This window comes from Homo sapiens, chromosome 18, assembly GCF_000001405.40.
Source record: "Homo sapiens chromosome 18, GRCh38.p14 Primary Assembly".
Classification (NCBI taxonomy): Eukaryota; Metazoa; Chordata; class Mammalia; order Primates; family Hominidae; genus Homo; species Homo sapiens.
This window is the reverse complement of record NC_000018.10, coordinates 56577744-56603444: the sequence shown is the minus strand read 5'-3', so window position 1 is coordinate 56603444 and position 25701 is coordinate 56577744. Positions and strand designations below refer to the sequence as shown.

At 35.8% G+C, this 25701-nt stretch overlaps 1 protein-coding gene across 3 annotated transcripts in view; it reads left to right on the top strand.

Moving 5' to 3' along the window:
- TXNL1 (thioredoxin like 1) overlaps window positions 1–6236 on the top strand; it is a 41384-nt gene extending 35148 nt beyond the window's left edge. For all 3 annotated transcript variants that reach the window (NR_024546.2, NM_004786.3, XM_024451289.2), the window contains one exon: window positions 389–6236. Coding sequence is in view for 1 of the 3 variants with exons in the window: in NM_004786.3 (NP_004777.1) it covers window positions 389–418 (30 nt within the window). In the remaining 2 variants the exon portion in view is untranslated. The remainder of the gene's footprint in view (window positions 1–388) is intronic.
- Window positions 6237–25701: the final 19465 nt, after the last annotated feature.

Sequence of the window (25701 nt, the reverse complement as noted above, 5' to 3'; positions counted from 1 at the left end):
TACGCTTCTAATTCCAGATTCTTTTGTGATCGACATTTGATTTCTAACTATCTAAAAATAGTATGTCAAATATGTTTTACTCATATAGCATCATTTTTTAAATTAACTTCTCTAAACTTTCAACCTTGTTTTTAAAAATTGCTATTTAAAAAAAAAAAAAAAACTGTGTGAAACCAAAAATAGCCTGCATGTGTTTTATTTTTAATTCCTTGTGGCTGGGATTGGAGGGGAGGTCACAGTTTGCTTCAACAGTGAAAATACATTGCATGCCAGAAAAGATCCAAGGATAAAAATTAATACCAAGGTTTTAAACTGATTATTAGTATTTTTAATAACTCATATTTAAAATCAATAGGATGTACATATAAACTTATTTTTGTTTTTCTAGGTAGTTGGCAAAAAAGGAGAAAGCCACTAAGGTACAAAAGACACTGGACAACCATATTGCAATCAGATCTACAGCTCCTGGATAATTGCTTGATTCTCGCCAGAGACTGTCAATGTTTCATTCATTGCCATTACCAATAAATCATTGCTTTTGTTCAGATGGTATCACTAGTGTTTCCATTGTAATCTTGACACATGCAATTGTAAATAAAAGTCACCACTTTTGCCAAGCTTAATTTTTGTCTTTCTAAATCAGTATTTTCTCTTTCCATGTATTTGAAAACTGGTTAACTTCTGATTTTAGTAGAGACTTAAGTGTCTGGTAGTATATTGATTGAAAGCCAGTTTCTTTAGAAAAGGAGAAACTGTTCTAGGGAATTAAGAAGTACATGTGTACACATTCATGGCAAGTTATTTTGATAAGTGAACCTGGAACAGCTAACCATGTTAAATTATTACTGCATTTTTATTAAAGGACATTTGTATATCTGAGCTATGGAAATTACTCAAATTATAAATTAGAAGAAATAAACAGGTTTAATGAGATTTAGCTACTCTTACCTAAAACTTAGCTAATGGGTCCACAGATTCTTTCTTGGTATATATCAAGATTTTAATCTCTTCTGGTAAACTTTAAAATTTGAGTCAGCCTTTTTTTTTTTTTTTTTTTTTTTAACTAATAGAAGAATGTGGAAATCAGACAGTTGGGGAAAAAATACAGCATAGTGAATTCAGAAAACAGGAATTGGCCAGGTGTGGTGGCTAATGTCTGTAATCCCAGTACTTTGGGAGGCCAAGGCGGGCGAATCACCAGAGGTCAGGAGTTCGAGTCCAGCTTGGCCAACATGGTGAAACCTCGTCTCTACTAAAAATACAAAAATTAGCCAGGCATGGTGGCGGGTGTCTGTAATCCCAGCTACTTGGGAGGCTGAGACAGAAGAATCGGCTGAACCCGGGAGGCAGAGGTTGCAGTGAGCTGAGATTGCGCCATTGCGCCCCAGCCTGAGCGACAAGAGCAAAACTCCGTCTCCAAAAAAAAAAGGGAATTATTACCCTTAATCAAGTATTTATTACCTGAACTACCAAAACGTGCAGTGTAAATATACAGAGAACATGATTTAAGGTTGAAAATGAGGTGCTCAAATAGAAATGTTTAAAAGGTCTTTCACAAAAGGCTGGTAAAATACCTATTCGTTACCTTTTTTATCTTAAAATTGTAATCTAAAAAGTATTGGTAGTTTTAATTTTAAAATTTCTGAGTATTTTGAAAACTATTTTTAAAGAGTACATAAGACTGTAAAATTGTGATTCAGTTAAACATTTGAGGGCATTCTTGTCTAGGAATATGGTAGAGATACCATTTGCCTTTGTGAGAGCAGTGTGTTTATACTTGTTTATGAAAAAATTCTACAGAAGTTTTAGTGTTGAAAGAGTCCCTTTCTGAAACCCAAGTGTCATTAGATAGTTTAGTTCATTTGTATATGGGCACATTAACTGGTCTGTGATGATCTTAACACTCCTTAAATAGACCATCTCAGATTAATCACATCTGAAATTAAGGATAAGATTAATATGCAGGGTTTTGGTTTACAGTTTTGTACACTTAACCTTTCTGAGTAATTGTTAAAGTGCCTCATCCTAAGTATTGCTGACCTTTTCCTATTTATACTTGATAGTTTGAAAACCCAGTGAAACAAATTTCGTATTTGTAAAGGATTGGACATCAGATTTATATTGTCTATGTGACTCTTCTATAACAATTAGTTGCAGTATGCAAGTATTACATAATTCAAATTGTAAATAGTGAAAAATGAACGTTTATAGGTAACTATAACGTTTCACTTAATGGGAAATCTTACTATTATAAATGTGCATAATTGGCATTTAAAATATCAAACTGAAATGCTGTTTTCTCCTAAAACAGTATATATATATACACACATATGTATATGTAACATTTATATATAACACTGAATTTTCCAGATGAATAAGAGCATTTGAAAAAATGTAACTCTAGTTATTTTAACTGAAGTTATTTATTAGTGCATCTAGAAAACTGGTATTCAGTTTCTTGTTCATTTTGTCGGACATAGCAAAAAAGAATTTCATGATCTCTGTATTTTGATACATTGACATCAGGTGCTTTTGATGAGAAACAACAGTGAAATATCGTGTTCATAATAGAAACGAAAGTCAGGTATTGCAGTAGGAAGTCTTTGTCAGCTTAATGCTGAAGCCAAGAGTAGCACAAGGTACCACATTCTTGTGCCCACGACAGGCTTTTATAATCCTTCTGAGTTCTCTTTGACATCAAGCCCCACGTTGTTCCCCAGTCTCAATATTCTGTTGGAGGCAGCCACGTAACAATTAGAGTTGAAACCTGCCCCACGTTGTTCCCCAGTCTCAATATACTGTTGGAGGCAGCCACGTAACAATTAGAGTTGAAACCTGCCCCACGTTGTTCCCCAGTCTCAATATACTGTTGGAGGCAGCCACATAACAATTAGAGTTGAAACCTGCCCCACGTTGTTCCCCAGTCTCAATATTCTGTTGGAGGCAGCCACGTAACAATTAGAGTTGAAACCTGCCCCACATTGTTCCCCAGTCTCAATATTCTGTTGGAGGCAGCCACGTAACAATTAGAGTTGAAACCTGCCCCACTTTGTTCCCCAGTCTCAATATTCTGTTGGAGGCAGCCACGTAACAATTAGAGTTGAAACCTGCCCCACATTGTTCCCCAGTCTCAATATTCTGTTGGAGGCAGCCACTTAACAATTAGAGTTGAAACCTGTCTGCCATCCTTTGTCTCAATGTTTGAGGATGTATGCAGTGTTTTTGGCAGCGATTATAGGAATGCAGTTGTTTATTTGGCCTCAGCAGTTTATTTATGGCTGCAATTAATATCCCTGATCATGGGCTTTTAAACCTAAAATAGTTCAGATCCTCCCTTGTTCCTCTTAATGTCTAAAAGCTTTGATTCTGTAATAAGAATAAAGTGTTGGAGTTGAATAAATTAGTTACACCCTTTGTAAGCTTTAAAAACATGAAATTTAAGGCTTACTCATGTTGCTTGTATTGATACTCATATAGTTCAATTTAGTAGGTTAATTTTTGTGTTAGGTATATCTCTTCTGGAACTGATAATTTGTAATCTTAGACTATTTTTTTTTTAAGATAAGTAACTTAGAGTAAGAAATCCAGCTGGGAACAGTGGCTCATGCCTGTAATCCCAGCATTTTGGGAGGCCGAGGCGGCTGGATCACTTGAGGTCAGGAGTTTGAGACCAGCCTGGCTAACATGGAGAAACCCTGTCTCTACTAAAAATACAAAAAATTAGCCAGGCATGGTGGCAGGTGCCACACCCAGCTACTTGGGAGGCTGAGGCAGTAGAATCGCTTGAACCCGGGAGGCGGAGGTTGCAGTGAGCCAAGATCGCATGACTGCACACTAGCCCGGGCAACAGAGTGAGACTGTCTCAAAAGAAAAAAAAAAAAAATCCATTCACAGAACTGCTAAAGAAAAACTAGAGGAATATTTTGCTCATTTAGCTTTAAAACTCATTATTAGAGGTGTGTATTTTACAGTTTTGTAAATATAGATTATGCTTTATAATACACATAAAGCAAGTATATATAACATGCATATAGTAAATAAATTTTAAAATATTGACTATTCCCCAGTTAAGCCTATACTTCTTAAGGAAGACTACTGATGTCATTTTAAGCATGTTTCAAAATTCAAGTTTTATTTTTGATCAATAAGGTTTTTTTTTTTTTTTAACATGCTCAGCACTATAGGAATAAGAGGACAGTGGAGATTTGTAGGCTAATAAGATCGCTTTTAAACTTTGTGGTCCATGTAAAATTATTAGTTGGAGAATGTGTAATTAGAGAACTATAAGATAAAGAGATAACCTTTAGAATTTGAATGTACTAAAATTGTACACAGCTTGGAATATTAAAATCTTAAGGATATGCAATGTTAAAACTGCTAGAGTATTTTTCCTTCGTGCTTGCTATGCTTCTCTATGGGAAGAGGAATTTTATTTTGGAATTATTTCTAAGTTGAACAGACCAGAATTAATTGTGAAAACATGATCTGTTGGTTTATAATTGGACACGCATTTGGAGATACTGGCTCATCATACTACCTAGGAGCAAAATCTCTGAAGTTTGAATCCCTGCTCTTCCACTTGTTAGCTGTGTCATCTTGAGCAAGTAACATCCTTCAGAGCTCAAATTTCTTCTTGTGTAAAAATAGGAACATCTATCTCTTAGACTTGTTCTGAAGATGCGCCTTACTTTGTATCTGGAACAAGGATAAGTATCTTCTGTATCCTGCTCTCAGCTGTCACTGCTTTTTAGGCCATCATTACTTGCTTGGCATACTGCAGTGCCTCCTAATTGTCTCTTTGTTTCTGCTCTGGCCTCTCTCATGTATCCCCCACATGGCCGCTGGTTCTCTTTTCTTTATGGGGTCTTTGTAATGTAATCTCTCCTCCTCTAGCCTCCCCATGCCCCTCATTTCTCCAGTGTGCTGTGCTGTATTACCAGGTAGCAGAACGTACCCTAATATCGCATGCCTTCCTCTGACCTAACTTTTCCATCTGACCAATTCCTACTTATCTACAAGGCTCAGTCCAAGGAAAACTGATACCGGGAATAATCATAACAATTGTGCACGCCTCCTCAGCTGCTATGACACCTTGCCATTATTTCATCCGGATACTTATCAAGCTACTTGTAATGATCTGTAGTCTTATTTGGACTACTAGATTGTGAGCTGTAATACAAGTATTTTGTCTCTAGTATTAAGCCAGTTTATTTGGTTTCTATCATTAAATACAATGTTGAAAAAATTCTCAGGGTCCAAGGGGAGATGCTTGGGTTGAGTCAGAGATAAAGTAGGAATATGCAGTTGAGGAAGGTAAGGAAGATAATTTAGCTGAAGTAAAGGAAAAGTGCATAGTGTGTTCATAGAGTGGGAGTTAAGTGTAAGAGACATTCTAGGGAAGTGAAGGAGAAGCTGAAAGAGCAAGTAGAGACGGTAAGGTGAAGCTCCTCTTGCCATGTGAAAGAGATCAAACTTTCTCCTTAATTTATGGGAGGAGCGAGCATAGAGAAGTCTGTGATGTCTCACAAGGTTCTCACTTTTACAATTGAATATAGAAGTAGCTCTTAGGAGAAGCAGAACGTTCAGAGGGGAAGATGAATATGGTTTTGGGTACATTGCCTTAAATTGCATTTTTGGTATTTGGGTGGCGATGTCTAGTAAGTAAAAAGCCAGGAATGTGATTTTAGAGCTTAGAGCTAGAAGCAAGGAACTAGGAGTTGTTTAGATGATGAAAACTGAAATATGTATATGAATGGGAATTTTTAGAATATAAAGGGAGAGAATGAAACTAAGGAGCAAATGTTAGGGAATCCTAAGAAATATTAAAGAATTGGGAAAAGAGGAACCTGGAAGGTAGAGTAGTAAACAGGAAAGGGAGGAAAAACAGGAGGTGGTAATAAAGTAGTGTTAATGAATCCAAGAGGGAGCAGTCACCATCTTCAAATGTGATATTGAAATTAGCTGGGATGTCCAGTTGTTTAATCCATTAAATTGTGGAAACAGTCTTTCTAGTGCTTAATTATAGGAATCATTGATCATATTAATAAACTTTCAGTTGAAGCATCAGCAGATAATTATTCCAAAACCCTCTGGCAAAGAAATGTAGATGCTTTTATAGTCTACCATTGAACACAGTTTTACATGACACTTGGCAAAACTTGGAGATGGATGGCACTATTTTGTAAGAGAATATGAAACACTGCTTTGAAGTTGTCATTAAAGGATCTTATCAGGTGCTTTTTCTCTTGTATTTTGTTTATAAATTTTGTCCTATCTGTCATTCTAGTACTGTTTTTCTTGATTGCTTTTGTTCTCTTAAAAGTTTCTAATTTCACATCACAAAGATGATTCCTGTTAGAGTCCTGAATGGGTCATTGAGTTGCCTTAGTAATAAGGGTTCTAATTTTGGGGGGCATTATCAAATATATTAATTGTTAATACCTGCTCTTCTGGGGTTTCCAGTAAAAAGGAACTCCTTCATTAGATCCCTGTAATCTCCCTGTGACAAAGTATAGTAGAGATAGTATCATAGTTTCATTTCTCTGGTCATATAATTATCTCAAAGGAATTGACACATTGACAGTATTAAGGATGCTGCTGCATGAGTTTAGCCTCGACTGCAGGTGACTTTTACTTTTAAAAATGGGTATTTAACTCAAAACAGACAATGGCAGGGAGCCTGGGCATAAATGCATAGGCCAACTGGAACCCCATTAAAAATTCCTCGGCCAGGCGTGGTGGCTCACACCTGTAATCCCAACACTTAGGGAGGCCGAGGCAGGCAGATCACCTGAGGCCAGGAGTTCAAGACCAGCCAGGCCAACATGGTGAAACTGTGTCTCTACTAAAAATACAAAAATTAGCCAAGCATAGTGGTGTGTGCCTGTAATCCCAGCTACCCGGGAGGCTGAGGCAGGAGAATGGCTTGAACCTGGGAGGTGGAGGTTGCAGTGAGCCAAGATGGTGCCACCGCACTTCAGACAGAGCCAAACTCCGTCTCAAAAAAAAAAAAAAAAAAAATTCATCTGATTTTTATTTGAATCCAGCAACTGTAAGGGAAAGATATTTGGGTGTTTACATTTGGGCTTCAATTTTTACCTTTAAATAATTTCCGGCGTGGTACAGTGGCTCACACCTGTAATCCCAGCACTTTGGAAGGCCAAGGCCGGCGGATTACTTGAGGTCAGGAATTCAAAACCAGCCTGGCCAACATGGCGAAACCCCATCTCTACTAAAAATCCAAAAATTAGCTGGGCGTGGTGGTGGGTGCCTTTAATCCCAGCTAGTCGGGAGGCTGAGGCAGGAGAATCACTTGAACCCGGGAGGTGGAGGTTGTGGTGAGCCAAGATCACGCCATTGCATTCCAGCCTGGGTTACAGAGCGGGACTCTGTTAAAAAAAAAAAGACAGAAAAAAAAATTCCTAGAATAAGAATATTAACCCGCATTTTATATAATTGCTTCATTGCTTCCTCATTTTGGTCCAATGTACTTGCTTTTCAGAGTGCTCTAAGCAGTTGTTACTATGATTCCCTTTAATAAATGTATGCCATTTCAGGAATTAACTGTTTTATGTACATATAACCTGATAAGCTGGTAACTTATTTTATGGAATGAGATAAGCTTCTTTAGAAGATTTACAAGCCATTTGTTATGTATAGCAGTTCTCACCCAGAACAGTATCTCAGATTTATTTTACTATTTTATTTCATTTTTGGAGATAGGGTCTCACTGTGTTGCCCAGGCTAGAGTGTAGTGGCATGATCAGGTATATTTAGATAAAACATAGATTATTGATTACCTTAGTACAATATTAATCCAAAGTTATTAAGCAAAGTTATTTAAGCACATAGACACACTAGAAATCCAAACCCCTTTCATGATAAAACACTCAACAAATGAGGAATAGAACGTTCTTAACTTGATAAAGGCATTTATCAAAAGCCCACAGCTAATATCACACTTTATGGTAAGAGACTGGGTACTTCCTGCTAAGATCAGGATAAAGAAAATGATGTCTGCTGTCACTGCTTATAGTCAACATTGTATTGGAGGTTCTAGTCAGGTTAATAAGTCAAGAAAAAGAAATAAGCATCCAGATCAGAAGAGAAGGAGTAAAACTATTCACAGAAGACATAATATTGTATGTAGAAAATCCTAAAGGAATCCACCTAGCACTAATATGAGTTCAACAAGGTTTCAGGATAAAGGTTCTATATACAAAAAAATAAAATCGTATTTCTACACACAATGAACAATCTGAAAATGAAATTAAGCAAACAATTCACGATAGTATCAAAAAAACTAGGAATAAACTTAAAAGACGTGTAAAACTTATACTCTGAAAATTACAAAACATTGTTGAAAGAAATTAAGATATAAATAAATGAAAACATCCTGTGGTCACATGTGGTCACGAATCAGAAAACTTTATTAACATGGCAATCCTCCCCAAACTGATCTACAGATTCGATGCAATCTCTGTCAGAATTCCAGCCAACTTCTATATAGAAATTGACAAACTGAATCTAATATAAAATTTCAAAGAATCCAGTATATCCAGAACAATCCTGAAAAAGAAGTACAAAGGAGGACTCACACTACCTGATTTGAAAACTTTTTACAAACTAATAGCAATCAAGACAGTGTCATACTGGAACTACTAAACTCCTGTAAGAAAACATACAGGCAAATCTTCATGACCTTGGATTTGTCAAAGGATTCTTATATATGACCAAAAGTATGAACAAAGAAAGAAAAAGTAGTAAATCGAAGTTTCATAAAAATTGAAACCTTTTGTGCTTCAAAGGACACCATCGAGAAAGTGAAAAGACAACCTACGGAATGGAAGAAAATATTTGGACATCATATCTCTGACAAAGGACTGGTGTTTTGACTGCATAAAGAACTCTTAAAACTCAATAATAAGAACAACCCAATTTTTTTTTTTTTTTTTTTTTTTTTTTTTTTTTTTGAGATGAAGTCTTGCTCTTGTCGCCCAGGCTGAAGTGCAATGGCGCAGTCTCGGCTCACTGCAAACTCTGCTTCCTGGGTTCAAGCGATTCTCCTGCCTCAGCCTCCTGAGTAGCTGGGATTCCAGGCACCTGCCACCACATCTGGCTACTTTTTAAATTTTTAGTAGAGATGGAGTTTCACCATGTTGGCGAGGCTGGCCTTGAACTCCTGACCTCAGGCAATCCACCTGCCTCGGCCTTCCAAAGTGCCGGGATTACAGGCATGAGCCACCATGCCCAGCCAAGAACAACCCAATTTTAAAAACAGGCAATATGAATTGAAAAGATTCTAGACAGCCTTAGTCATCAGAAAAAATGCAATTCAAAACCACAATGAGATACCACTTCATATCCACAGGGTAGCTAGAATCAAAAATTCATACAACAACAAGTGTTGGTGAGGATGTGGAGCAGTCACAACCCTCCTACACTACTGGTGGGGATGTAAAATGGTTCAGCTCCTTTGGAAAACAGTTTGACAATTCTTTATAGGATGAAACATAGATTTACCATGTGACCCAATCGTTCCATTTCTAGTTATATGCCTAAGAGGGAAAAAATAGTATGCCCACAGAAATACTTGTACCTGAATGTTTATAGCAGCATTATTCATAATAGCCCCAAAGTGGAAACAACCCAAATGTTCATCAATGGACAAATGAATAAACAAGACATGGTGTATCCATCCATGTTGGCCAGGCTGGTCTCGATCTCCTGACCTCAGATGATCCGCCCACCTCGGCCTTCCAAAGTGCTGGGCTTACAGGCATGAGCCACCACGCCCGGCCTTGGATTTCTTTTAAATGTGGTAGAAATGTTTTAAAATTTATTGTGATTGTTGTGCGTATCTGAATATACTAAAAATCATTGAATTCTACACTTTAAATGGAGGAACTGTAAGATATGTGAATTTTATCTCAGTAAGGCTATCAAAAAGTAAATAAAAATAAAAACAATGCAAATTATACATGATTAGCATAATAGTAAATTAGGGAGAGAAAGATTTCATCTGAATGTGACCCTCAGTTTAGAGATTGATATAGTTTGGATTTGTGTCCCCACCCAAATCTCATGTCAAATTGGAGGAGGGGCCTGGTGGGAGGTGATTGGATTATGAGGGCAGACCTCCCCTTTGCTGTCTTGTGATACAGTTCTCATGAGATCTGCTTTTTTTTTTTAAGTGTGTAGCACTTCCCCCTTTGCCCACTCTCTCTTCCCTGCTGCCACATGAAGACATACTTGCTTCCCCTTCACCCTTCCGCCATGATTGTAAGTTTCCTGAGGCCTCCCCAGCCATGACTTCTGTGGAACTGTGAGTCAATTAAACCTCTTTTCTTTATAAATTACCCAGTCTCAGTTAGTTCTTTATAGCAGTGTGAGAATGGACTAATACAGGGGTCTTCATATTTGCAATGTTATCTGAACTAAAAAAAAAAAATCTACACAAGTTCGCTTGTACATTCAATTTCTACTTTTACATACTTAAGAGGTTTTTTTTAAATTATAAAGGAAATGTAAGAAATGTTTAAAGTATAATCTTTATGCAATGAAACTTACATGAATGAATGACAAACTACTTGCAATTTACTTTTGTGATGATACATACAAACACACACACCCCACATGGATAAAAGGCATCATTTATAAACCAAAATATGAAATTCTGCTATGTTTAATTTGCCCTCCTATTTTATGACTCTTTGATTTTTCATGAAAAATTTTAATTCAATGAAAATCTTTAAATGTTTTATAAATTCTGTAAAGAATAATTTAGCTAAAGAAAGGGGTTTAGGGCCTTTTCTGCCTTTTGGTTTTTTTTCCTCTGTATCCTTTCAAGGACTACTAGTTACTAGCTTATGGATGAACATCGTAGTACTTTGCTGTTTATATTTTGGCTTAGAGTCTCTGAAGCCATTTAAAGTTGTCATCTATTTTAAGATGAAACTTCTCTCCCTTTTAAAAAACACTTTTAAAGTTGATATGCATCTTTCAATTTTTTGTCATCACAGTTTAATTGACTGTTCTTTCTAAATAGACTTCTTGCAGTCTATAGAATCTCAGAATCAATGAAATACAGGAGATTCCTTGCCCCTTTTGCTTTTAAAGGGCTTTAAAGAAGAGAAAGGGATATTGGAAAAAAAAGAGATTAGTTTGAACCCAGGGAAATTTGTGATTCAGTTGTACTTTTATAAGTGTTTATATACATAGAACATTTTCACAGCTCAATATTTATAATTCTTGAACTAAACTTTTACATGCCAAATGAATATTTTAATCTTCCACTTGGAGAATACGTTTACAGGTAGGAAGTTATTTCAGTACTTAGTTTTCCAAAAACTTTAGCTTATTTAATGCAGTCACCATTCTCCTGATAGGCTGGTCTTACCTATAAAATAATAAAGATTAGCTCATGCCTTCTGGAGAATAAAGGTCTCAATCCTTAAGTGGGCTATCAACCAGTAAATGTGTAAGGAATAATGTAGTTAGAAAATCATTCATGGATGCTAAACCTAGTGAATGAAAGTTTGAGGAAAAACATGATATTTACACATCTCAAAATACACCTCCCCAAATAACTTAATTTCATGGGAAAAATAGGCAGACTCCACCTTAACCAAGTAAGTCTTCTTTAATCTCCCTGATTGGTCTAACTGCTTAATTGATTTTCATTCATCATTGGAAATCACCTACTATACTTCAAAAGCCAAGAACAGTACCTTAAGATTCCTACACCTTAAAATTAGACACATTATTTTCTTAGGAGTTAAAAAGTAAATGAAAAGCAACAAAAACTGGGGGGTGGGAGTGGAATTTATATGCAATTATTACTACTTATTCCTTACCACAATTAGGAAAAGCACATGGCTTTGACAGATGTAGCACCAATGGCTTAAAATACTATATTTCTCATGCCAGATGTGCGAAAGATTGCTGATTCTCCTAAGAATGAGAGGCTTATATCCACATAATTAAATTTCAGAGCTGAAGTAGTTCAAACTCCTGCTGCCCCTTTTTTAGGATTTTTGGGCACCAAATTGTACCAAAAACAAACAAACCAAAAAAAACAAACAAACAGACAAAAAAAAAAAAACTAATGATTTCAAGACAAGGAACTTCAAGAATCAGAATTTGTTAAATAAGACTTTGCTCAAAGGAAGAAAGGTAGGCAAAAAGAAGACTGAGAACCTGATCTACAGACTTATGATTTCATACAGTTTTTTACATGGCATTTTTGATGATAACTACAAGACTACATTACAAATAGTGTTTTTTAAAATTACAAATCATAACATGGGCATGTTACAAATCAACATCTAAGTTCCTTTCTTGAACATAGGTCTGAATTTGTTTTCAATCTAATGTCGTAAAGAAAATTATCTGTCAGGAGTTTTATCACAGCAGATTCTAAATTTCTATATAACTTAAAATGAAGAGATTGAATACTTTATAAAGCTTTTTTCATTAGATAATGCTTTAGATAAAGGCTTTATCTATGGCCTTTGGTCTTTGGCCAACGTTAAAAACTAGCACTGAATCTAGACAGTCACACACACACACATATACCCCTAACAACAAAGGTAACAGTAATTATAGTTTTTATATTATGTAGATGTATTTGGTGTTGATAATTTTCTCCCTGCATGAAATTGCCTCCTCAATGGACTTCTGGTCTTATGATCTTCCTTGGACTGGTATGGCAGTCTAATTTTCTTTGCTGTCCCCTGGCTGCCTGAAACTGTGGCTACCTCTTCAAAATGTAGTTGTGAATTAGCCGGGCATGGTGGCATGTGTCTGTAATCCCAGCTACTCGGGAGGCTGAGGCACGAGAATCGCTTGAACCTGGGAGGCGGAGAGGTTGCAGTGAGTTGAGATAGTGCCACTGCACTCCAGCCTGGGCAATAGAGTGAGACTCTGTCTTAAAAAAAAAAAAAAGAAAAAATGTAGTTGTGTGTAAACTTCTTGAAGCTGAATCTTTAATTTTTTCATGTACTTTCGCTGAATATTGAAATGATAGAATTAAAACCAACATTTGAGATGAACTAGAATTCTCACTCTGCACACTGAACTATATCCCCAGATACCTTCTAGTTTCCAAGTGTACCTCAATTAGTGTTGTTTAACCGGGGAGAGCAGTAGGAATATTGTTTCCATGCCAATGTAATACCTTATAAACTTTTAGCTTCAATTCATGCTGTTGGCCCTATGATTTTTTAAAATGTTCACTCTTCTATGATATTAGCTCTCAGCTTCGGGTTATCTGCCTATAAATATCCTTTCACATTTAAAAATATCAAAGCAAGGAAGTATTGTTGATCCACCATAATGTGCCTGTAACTTAAAAAGGTATTTTTTTTTAAGTTTTCAAAAAAAATTGGGCACTTACATATTTTAACCTGACACTGATTCTGGAGAATTACCCACAGTTTGGGGTTTTCTGATATTTCCTCATGATAAGATCCAGGTTATATATATTTTCAGAAATACTACCAAAGTGATGTTGTGCCTTTCTCTGTACATCTTTTCAGGACGCACATGGTGTCTGTTTCAATATTGGTGATATTAGATTTGATGACTTGGTAAAAGTGGAGTCTGCCAATTTTCCCTTTGTAATTAATAAGTACTTTGGGAGGCTGAGGTGGGCGGATCACCTGAGGTCAGGAGTTTGAGACCAGCCTGACCAACATGGCGGAAACCCTGTCTCTACTAAAAATATAGAAAATTAGCTGGGCGTGATGGCACGCACCTGTAATCTCAGCTATTTGGGAGGCTGAGGCAGGAGAATATCGCTTGAATCCGGCAGGTGGAGGCTGCAGTGAGCTGAGATCGTCGTGCCACTGCACTCCAGCCTGGGTGACAGAGTGAGGCTCCATCTAAAAGAAAAAAAAAAGTATTTTTCTTGAAAGCTAATTTGAGATACGTGAATATCCTTTTCCTTACCAACATTTCACTTGCTAATTTTAGCATCCATTAATGATTTTGTAATTCCATTCTTCCTTCTATCTTTCTATTGATAGTTTACCATATGGAAGACCTTTTCCTTTTCCCCTGTTTATTGATTTATTCATTTAATATTTATATCAGCACAGGCTTATGGATTCTAATTTTTTAATGGGTTATATCTTTTTTTTGATGCTTATATTGCCCCAGATTTGTTCTGTGAGAGCCTCTGCCAGTTGGCACTCATGTTGATTTGACACGTCCCCGAGATTCTTTGAATACTTTTTAAACTTTGTGGCATAAAGTTTTCCAAGCTCTTTCTCTACTCCCTGCCACCCCCATCTCCTGCCCCTAACCCAAGCCTGGAATCACTGATTTATTCAATAAGTGGTTCCTTTTAGTGGAGAATGATGCTGAGAAACCAAGATCTGAGTGTTAGCTATGTTTATTCCCACTTGTATGTCTTTGCTTCTAGGCCCTCTCAATGGGCAGAGATAGGAAATGGAATAGAATAGGGTAAAATATTTATGCACATATGTAAACAAACACATTTTTATTTATTTCAATATCCTTTTTTTAAAAAACAACTTCATACTGATACCTTCCTTCAAGTCCAATCCAACAGCACAGAGAACATTCTAGACTTCCTCGTGTCTGTATTTGCAAGTCAATTTCTCATATGAAAAACTGGCTACCATTATCCTCAGTATATTGACACATTTGCTCAAGCCAAGAATACAGGAAGTAGTTTTAAAGATGCTAATATGTACCCCAGAAAATTGAAACCTACTAACTAGAGTTTATTTATTCAGTGTTTCATAAAAGTAAAATTTACATACCTTGAAATGCACAAATTGTCATATGCATCAAATGTCCAATTAATTATATTTCTTTCCCCATTAGTCCTCCTAACCTTAAAACCAACCACTGTTTTTGATGTTTTCACCACAGATTTGTTTTGCTTGTTCTAGAACTTCATATTAATGAAATCATAAAACGTGTATTCTTCAGTATCAACATCGTGCCTTAGCAAATGTATGTGAGATTATCCATGGTGTTGCATGTTTCAGTAGTTTATTTTTTTATTGCTTAGTAGTGTTTCATTGTATGTATGAACATGCCAATTTATTTATACATTCACCCAGTGAAGGACATTTAGGTTGTTTCCAGCTTTGGTCTATTACTAATAAAGCATCTATGAACTATCTTTTACAAGTCTTTTTGAGGATGTAGGCTTTTGTTTTTCTTGGCTAATATCTGTAGAACTTCTGTAGAACTACTGGATCAAAGGATAGGCGAATGTTTAACTTTAAAAACAAACTGCCACATCTTTTCCAAAAGTAAATGGCCCATTTTACACTCCAGCCAACATTGTACGAGAGGTTTAATTGCTTTACATCCTTGCCAGTATTTGGTGTTTCAGTCTTTTTAACTTTAGCCATTCTAGGGGTTATATGCAGGAGTTTCATTATGGTTTTAATCTGCATTTCTCTGATGACTAATGATGCCAAGTATCTCTTCATGTGTTGATTGGATTTTTTTTTGCTTTTATTGTGTGTTTTGTCATAATAATTGTACACATTTATGAGATAGTGATATTTTGATACATGTATAGACCATGTGTAATTAGCATATTCATCACCTCAAACATTTATAATTTATTTGTGTGAAACAGTCAAGATTTGTTCTTCTAGATATTTGAAAATATATGATAAATTGTTAATTATATGGCTGGGCATGGTGGCTCATGCCTGTAATCCCAGCACTTTGGGAGGTTGTGACTGGAGGATCGCTTTAGTCCAGGAGTTTGAGACCAGTCTGGGCAACATGGTGAAACCCCGTCTCTACAAAAAATTAAAAAATTAGCTGGGCATGGTGGCACACGCCTGTAGTCCCAGTGGATTGGGAGGCTGAGGTGTCATGGCTGCAGTGAGCCAAGATCAAACCACTGCACTCTAATCTGGGTGACAGAGCGAAATGCTGTCTCAAAAAAAAAATTGTTAATTACAGTCACCCAATAGTGCTATAGAACACTAGAACTTATTCCTTCTACCTAGCTGTACTTTTGTAAAATTGATAATTTTTATTGGGTAGTTTGTCTTTTTATTATCACATTATAGGATTTCTTTATATACAGATGCTCCTTGACCTATAAAGGGGGTATATACAGATAAAGCTAAGTTGAAAATTCAATTAATACCCCCATAAGCCCATCATCAAATTGGAAAATCATTAAGTCAAACCATCGTAAGTCAGAGACCATCTGTATTCTGAATACATATTCTGTATTAGATAATAGTTTTGTAAATATCCTCTTCCAATGGCTTGCCTGTTCATTTCGTTAATGAATAGACAAAAATTTTGAATAGACAGAATTTTTTATTTTGATGGCATTTAATTTATACATATTTTTCTTTTATAGTTATAGTTTTCTAGATCCTGTCTAGAAAATCTTTGGTTACTCACGATTCACAAAGATATTCTTGTATGTATTCTTCTGAAAGCTGTAAACTTTTATTTTTTAAGTTTATGTCTCTATTAGTCCATTTTCATACTGCTGTAAAGAACTTCCTGAGACTGGGTAATTGATAAAGGAAAGAGGTTTAATTGACGCACAGTTCAGCATGGCTGGGGAGGACTCAGGAAACTTACAATCATGACAGAAGGCAAAGGTGAATCAAGGCATCTTCTTCACAAGGCAGTAGGAAGAAATGCCCAGCGAAAGGGGAAGAGAACCTTATAAAATCATCAGATCTTGTGAGAACTCATTCACTATCACGAGAACAGCATGGGGGAAACCATCTGCATGATTCAATTACCTCCACCTGGTCTCTTCCTTGACCTGTGAGGATTATGGGTATTATGGGGATTGCATTCAAGATGAGATTTGGGTGGGGAGAGTAAGCCTAACTGTTTCAATGTTTATGGTCCATGTGAAATTAATTTTTGTATGTGGTGTCAAGTAGGTAAAGGTTCATTTTTTATTCACAAGACTATCAAATTTTGTAGTATGTTAGAAAAACTTTCCTTTCTTTATTAAATTGCTTTTGCAACTTAGTAAAAAATAATTAACTACATAAATGTGTTTCTGGACTCTCTATTCTGTTCCATAGACTTATTTGTCCACCGTTATGTGACTAGCGCACTGTCTTGATTACTGTAGCTTTGTAGTGTGTCTTGAAGTCAGGTAGTATAATTCCTGTAATTTTTTTTTTTTTTTTGAGACTGACTCTCGCTTTGTTGCCCAAGCTGGAATGCGATGGCACCATCTCAGCTCACTGCAACCTCTGCCTGCCAGGTTCAAGTGATTCTCCTGCCTCAGCCTACCAATTAGCTGGGATTACAGGTGCCTGCCACTACGCCCAGCTAATTTTTGTAGTTTTAGTAGAGCTGAGGTTTCACCATGTTGGCCAGGCTGGTCTCAAACTCCCGACCTCAAGTGATACAACCATTTCAGCCTCCCAAAGTTCTGGGATTACAGGTGTGAGCCACCACTCCTGGCCAATTACTGTAATTTTCTTCTTGAGATTATTTGAGTTACTCTAGGCCCTTTGCATTTCATTTTAGAATCAGCTCATCAATTTTTTTTAAAAAAAAGCTTTCTAGTTGGATTACCTTGAATATGACAACTTAACTATATTGAGTCTTCCAATCTATGTATATAGTAGGTATGTATCTACATCTACCCATATACATGGGTAGATATAAGTATATAGATATGTGTATTAATATATGTATCTATGTGTAGATGTATATATATATGTGTAATTATTTCCATTTATTTAGACCTTTAATTTCTAAATGCATTGTTTTATAGTTTTCAGCATGGAGGCCCTTCATTCATTAGACTTAACATTTCATTTTCCAATTGTTTTGTTGCTGGCATATACTAATACAGTTCATTTTTGTATATTGACCTTTAGTCTGTCATCTTAATAAACTCTTTTATTAGTTTTAATGGTTTTTATACATTTCTTATTTTCTATGTAAACAATCATGTCATATGCAAATAGTTTTAATTATTCCTTTCCTCAGTTTACCTAAGTTTGCGCCTTTGATTTCCTTTACTTGCCTATTGCAATGCCTAGGAATTTCAGCACAATACTAAATAAAAGTAGACAAAGTAGATAATCCTGCTTTATTCTTGATCTTAGGGGGATAGTATTCAGTGTTTCACTACTAAGAGATGTTAGTTGTTAAGTTTTAAAAAAAAGTCCTTTATGAAATTGAAGAAGTTTCTATTTCAAATTTTCTTGAAGTTAAAAAAGAATCATGAATTGGTGATAAATTTTGCTGAGTACTTTTTCTGCATCTATTGAGATGATTATGTGTTTCTTTGTTTTGTCAATATGGTGAATAGTATAAATCAATTTTTAAAATATTAGACCAACCTTGCATTCCTTGGATTAACTGCTTTTGGTCTTGATGAAATATTATTTTCATATATTGGTCAATTAAATTAGCTAATAGTGTAATAAGGATCTTTTGTGACTATGCTTATTAAGGATATTTCTTTACTAGGTTTTGATATCAGGGTTTTTCTGGTTATACTTTAAATGTTTCATAGAACTCACCTGTTTCTTTGTGAGAAGCTTTTAAAATACATATACATGTAAAATACATCTTTAAATATATAAACATTTAGAAGTACATCTTTAAATATATGTACATTTAAAAACACCTATTTTATATATTTGATAGATATTAGGGTTATTGAGATTTTCTATATGACCTTGAGTTTAACTTTTTTGTTGTAAACAAAATTGTAAATTTTATTTTCCAAGAGATTTGTCTTTCATATGTCAAATTTATTAGCATAAGGTTTTAAATAATAATCCCCTATTATCCTTGAATATCTGTGAGCTCTATAGTGCTGACCAGCTTTTCATTCCCATTTTTGGTCATTTATCTTTTTCTCTCTTTCTCTCTCTTTGTAAATTAAGCTGGTAAATGGAGTTATCAATTTTATTAATTTTCTCAATCGTTTTGTCATTTTAAAATTTTACTGATTTACATACACACTTCTTTTTATTATCTTGTTTCTACTTAAATTTGCTTTTCTTTTTCTATCTTATTAATGTAAAAACTTTGATCATAAATAGTAATCTTTCTTCTTTTCTAATATAAGCATTTAAAATTATAAACCTCCTACTGAGCTTTGCTTGCTACTGAGCTAAGCTTCAGTTGCATACAAAAATTTTGGATATTTTTAAATCATCACTTAAATGAAAATATTTTCTAGTTTCTCTTATAATTTATTCTTTGATTCTGGGTAATTTTGAAATCTATTGTTTAATTTCCAAATACTTGGGGATTTTCTAGATATCTTTTTTGTTGATTTTTGGTTTAATTCCATATCTGTAAGAGAACATACTCTAATGTTTTGATCTTTTAGAAATTTTTGAGACTCATTTTATGTCCCAGCATAACAGTTTATCTTGATGAATGTTCTATGTGCACTTCAAAAGAATGTATATTCTGCAGTTGTTGAGTACTTTATAATTTATCAATGAGATCAAGATGGTTGATGATGTTGCTTAGGTGGTTTACATCCTTACTTCAATATTTGTTATTCTATTAAATCCCCCCACCTCCTTTTTTCTTTTTCTTTTTTCTTTTTTTTTTTTTTGAGATGAAGTCTTGCTCTGTCACCCAGGCTGGAGTGCAATGGCGTGATCTTGGCTCACTGCAATCTCCGCCTCCTGGATTGAAGCAATTCTCTTGCCTCAGCCTCCTGAGTAGCTGGGATTACAGGTGCACACCACCACGCCTGGCTACTTTTTGTATTTTTAATAGAGATGGGGTTTCACCATTTTGGCCAGGCTGGTCTCGAACTCCTGACCTCGTGATCTGCCTGCCTCAGCCTCCCAAAGTGCTGAGATTACAGGCATGGGCCACTATGCCTGGCCCCACCTCCTTTTTTCTGAGACAGAGTCTCATTCTGTCACCCATGCTGGAGTGCAGTGATGTGATCCCGGCTCACTGTAGCCTCAACCCCTCAGGCTCAAGTGATCCTCCTGCCTCAGCCCCAGCAAATAGCTGGGAGTACAGGTGCATACCACCACACCTGGCTAATTTTTAATTTTTTTGTAGAGATGGAGTCTTGCCGTGTTGCCCAGGCTAGTCTTGAACTCCTGAGCTCAAACTATCAGCTGCCCTGGACTCCCAAAGTGCTGGGATTACAGGTGTGAGCCACTGGCCCAGCCTATTCTGTTAAATTTTGAGAGAGCAGTGTAATAACTCCAACTATGATTGTACATTTGACTTAAGCACATATACCTTATGTGTTTCTGATGGATTGATTCTTTAATCATAAATGTCTCTCTATATCTCTGGTAATACTCTTTGTCTTGAAGTTTATTTTGTCTGAAGTTAGGAGTATAGTCCTTCTATCTTTATTCTGATTGTTTTCATGGCATTGCTTTTCCCATTTTTTTACTTTCCATATATCTGTGTCTTTGTATTTAAAATATGTCTCTTGTGGAAAGCAATTAGATGGGTCTTTCTTTGTTAATCCAGTGTGAAAAATCTCTGCTTTTTAAATTGGAATTATTCTATTTACATTTAGAGTACTTATTGATATGATTTATTTAGGGCAACCATTTTGCTATTTGTTTTCTAGTTGTCTCATATGTGTTTAGTTTTTCTGTTCTTTTTCACCTGTGTCCTTATGTGTTAATCAGAATTTATCCTAATTCCCTTTAAATTTCTTTTTTATGATTGCTCTAGGGACTGCATCATGTATCTTTAATGTATCACTTAGATTTAACATATTATGCTACTTTGCATAAAATATAGGAAACTCGTAACTTTATGGTTCTACTTAGCCTTCATCAATTGTGCTAATAGTGTCACATATAATTTAAATGTTATAAAATCCACAATATAGAATTATAATTTTTACTTAAAGTCTTTTAACAGTGTGAAAAATTATTTGCCCATTTTCCGTTCCATTTTCTCTCTTCTTTCCTTCTTAATTCCAATTAAATGCTTACCAGTCCTTTTTACTGTATCTTACCATTTCTTCTGTGTGTTCTATCCTTTTACTTTTTTGCATTGCAGTCTACATATTTTCTAATGTAGATTTTCTACATCTTTCAGTTCTCTTATCCTGTCTTCTGGTGTTCTAATCTTCTGTTAAATTTATCTATCAAGTTCTTAATTTCAGCATTTATACTTTTCATTGCTAGAATTTTTATTGGATTCTTTTCAATAGATTCCAATTCTCTGATGATATTCTCCATCTTTTTATATAATTAAAAAAATTTCCCATGTCCATTTCCACATAGCAATTGTACTTATTTTAAAGTCCTTTTCTGCTAACTCTAATATCTGAATCACTTTTGGGGTTGTTTCTACTTTCTATTTTTTTTTCTCTTGGATTTTGGTCATTTGGTTCTATCTCTTGGTATGCCTAATATATTTTATTAATATTTAATATCTGTTGCATTTCAGACATTGCAGATGAACAATTGTAAAGGGTCTGGGTAATATTATCTTCCTACAGAATGGATTTACACTGTCTGCTAAGTGGACGTAGTGGGGCAGGTTACCTTATCCGATGAGTAACTAAGCCGAGTCCAGGCAGCCTGATGTATCAGGTTGGTGAAAAAGGAATTTTGGTTTAAAAGTAATGGCAAAAACTGAAATTACTTTTGCGCCAACCTAATAGGTACTGAGGCCCCTTCCCTGTAAGACTGAACTTCAACTGTTTCTCCTTGACACTGTGAGACTGAGGAATACTCTATTTTTCAGAGTTTTCTTAATTTCTTACTTCTAATCTAACACAGTTTCATAATTTGGCAAATGTCTTGAGGGAAAAATCAGCCATGTGTCAACATTTGTTCTCTACTTCTCTCTTCTCGCTGAGATTTTGGATCCTCAAGTCTCTGACTTTTGTCTGTCTAGATCTGGTAGATGGCCAAAGGGTCTCTGGTTTCTCTGCTTCCCAGAAGTGGCCTTTTGCCTGTATCCTTTGTCCAGACTTTCAGCTGTATCCAGTGAGAGAAAAATGTATCTGCAGAAGGTTGACTTACCTTTCAATAATTCCTCCCTCTGTGAAATCAGCCTCTTAAGTTTTGGTTGCCTCAAGAAGGCTCCAATGTAGATGCAATCACATTTTATCTAGTTTTCTAGTTATTTTCTTGGGCACATTGGTTTGCCAGAAATTACTTTATCATAGCTGGATAAAGCAGTCTAAATATAGCTATTTTAAAGTTTATGTCTGAATATTCAATTATTTGGAGTCCTTTTGAGTCTGTTTCTATGGACTGTTGTTTCTTTTCATTTTTATTCATGTTTTTGATCTTTTTATTTATCTTTTAAATAACAATTTAGATATAATTGACACATTATACAAAATTAGTATATAATTTGATATGTTTTACCCTATGTATACGTCTCTGGAACCATGACAACAGTGAGGAACATGAACACATCCTCACACCCAGTATTTCCTGTGCCCTTCATAACCCCTATTATCTTCCTTCTCAGACACGTACTGATCAGCTTTCTGTCACTATGGATTAGTTTGCATTTTTTAGAATTTTTTCCAAAGGATATTTTCCAAATATTTTTTAGAATTTTATATAAATAAAATTATACAGTATGAATTCCTTTTTTCTGACTTCTTTTATTCAATCTAATTATTTTTAGATCCATCCATCCATGTTGTTGCATGCATTAATAGTTTATTCTTTTTTTCTACTTGTAGTGGAGACTTATCTCATTCATTTAAATATATGCTTTAAGGCATATTTACCTGTAGGGGAACTGGTTTAACTACCATACACAAGGCCTGTTTACTATGGTGTAGAAGACCAAATGTTTTCTAATCTTTTCTTTGTCCCATTAGCTATTCAGAAACACATCTATTAATTTCCAAACAGATGGATATTTTCTAGATATGTTTGTCTTTAATTCCTAGATTAATTGCATTGAGGTCAGAAAACATTTCCCTGATTTAACTGTTGGAATCTGTTGGAATTTGATTCATGGCCCTATATAATACATTTCCATAAATGTTTGTAAGTGTGGTTTTTGAAAATATACTTGAAAAGAATGTGTATTCTTCAATCACTGGATACAGCTTATATAATGTGTCCACTCTGGTAATCTCTGTCTTTTAATTGACATATTTAGACCATTGATATTTAAAGTGATTATTAATATAGTTGGATTAATGCTTACCATATTTGTTACTGTTTTCTGTTTGTTGCCTTACTCTTTGTTCCCCTTTTTGTTTTCCACACTTTTGCTTCCTTTTGTGGTTTTAATTGAGCATTTTGTGTAATTCCGTTTTCTCTTCTTTCTTAGCATATCATTTTTTTATTTTTTAACAATGTTTGCCCGAGAGTTTTCAATATGGATTTCCAACTAATTCAAGTCTATTTTCAAAAAACACTATACCGCTTCTTACATAGCATATAATCCTAATTTCTTCTTCCTATGCCTTGTATCATTTTTGCCATTTATTTCACTTACACATAAGTATAAATAAGCGTGCATCTGTATAAACATACGTAAAATAACATATATTATTGGCATTATTTTTAACAAACTTTGTTAGATCAACTAAGAATATGAAAAATGAAAGTTTTTATGTTACCTTCACTTATTTCTTCTCCAATGCTCTTTATTTAGACCTATATCAATTTCTTTTTCTCTGGAGAACTTATTTTTAACAACACTTCTTGCAAGGCAGGTCTACTGGCAACAAATTCCCTCAGTTTTTGTCTGTCTGAGAAAGTCTGTGAGCTTCCTGGATCTATGGTTTGGTGTCTGGCATTAATATGGGGGAACTCTCAGTTATTATTGCTTCAGATACTGCTTCTGTTTGTTTTCCTCTTTCTTCCCTTTGTGGAATTCCCATTACACATATGTTACACTTTACAGTGGTCTCAGAGTTCTTGAATATTCTGTTCTGTTTTTTTGTTCTTCTTCTTGTTGTTGTCACTGTTGTTTTCAGTCTTTTTTCTCTTTGCTTTTCAGTTTTGGAAGATTCTAACATTATATACTCAAGGTCAGATATGTTTTTCTTAGCCATCGCCAGTCTACTAACGAGCCCATCAAAGGCATTCTTCATTTCTGTGCTTTTTATCTCTAGCATTTCTTTAGATTCTTAGAATTTTTATCTCTCTACTTACATTATCCACCTGTTCTTGCATGTTGTCTACTTTTTCAATTAAAACCCTTTGCATATAAATCACAGTTGTACAAAATTCGTGCTCTGATAATGCCAACCTTCCTTCCAAATCTGGCTCTGGTTCTGATGTTCTTTTAGTCACGTCAGGTTATGTTGTTTATCTTTTAGTATGTTTTGTAATTTTTTATTGTATGGTGGACACGAGGTACTAGGTAAAAGATACTGTGGTAAATAGGCTTTTAGTAATATCATGGAAGGTGCAGGGGAGGGGGATGTTCTATAGTCCTATGAGTAGGTCTCAGTCTCAGTGAGCCTGTGCCTCTGCCCTGTGAACTTCACAAATTCTTCTTAGTACCCCCTTGCCCTCCTTGGGTGGGACAGGGTGGCTAAAGGGGGCTGGAGTTGGGTATTCCCCCTCCCCCAGGTCAGATAAGCTCCAGTAAAACCCCAGCTAGTTAAGCTCTGGTAAAATAATTTCTACCGAGAGCAGTCTTTGTTACGAACAGCATACTTAGGCAAATTTCAAAATGGTTGCTTTTCCCCTCCTCCTGCGGGAAGCACAAGGGGATTTTTCTCTATCTTCATCGTGAGACCCCTGGAAGTAAAATAAAAATGTGGGGTCCCATCCTATTACTGGGTCCCCTTGTGTTCTTATCTCTCAGGCTTATCCACATGGAGCCTCCATCACTTCATCAGTCACAGTTTAGATTTTCTTACCCTGGTGCTGGTTTCTGTGCAGGCTTCTGCTCTGGTACATTGTGATTCCCTGTATCTGCCTCTCTCTCCAATTTTTGGGGCGGTGGCCTCCCCTGTGACCTCACTGATAGATCTCTGTGAGGAGCTGATGGATCTAAGAAGAGTTGTTGATTTTTCAGTATATTTAGTTTTTCACTTGTTGTTTGGATGGAATGGTGACTTTTTTTTTTTTTTTTTTTTTTTTCTGAGATGTCACCCAGGCCGGAGTGCAATGGTGTGATCTCGGCTCACTGCAACCTCTGCCTCCTTGATCCAAACGATTCTCCTGCCTCAGCCTCCCTAGTAGCTGGGATTACAGGTGTGTGCCACCATGACCAGCTAATTTTTGTATTTTTAGTACAGATGGGTTTCACCACGTTGGTCAGTCTGGTCTTGAACTCCTGACCTCAGGTGATCTGCCCGCCTCGGCCTCCCAAAGTGCTGGGATTACAGGTTTGAGCCACCATGCCTGGCCAGAATGGTGACTTTTAAGCACCTTATAGTCTAAACCAGAAAACAGAAGTCACCTTATTAATTTTTAAAATCATATATCCAAAGACCTATATCACCTCACACCAAGGTGAGGACAAATTTTGGGCCAAATTATTTATGGTATTTCAAAATTGAAATACCTTTTTTTTTTTTTTTTGAGACAGAGTCTCACTCTCACCCAGGCTGGAGTGCAGTGGTGCAATCTTGGCTACCCAGAACCTCCTCCTCCTGGGTTCAAGCAATTCTCCTGCTTCAGCCTCCCGATAGCTGGGATGACAGGTGCACACCACCATAGCTGGCTAATTTTTTTGTAATTTTAGTAAAGACAGGATTTTGCCATGTTGGCCAGGCTGGTCTCAAACTCCTGACTTCAAGTGATC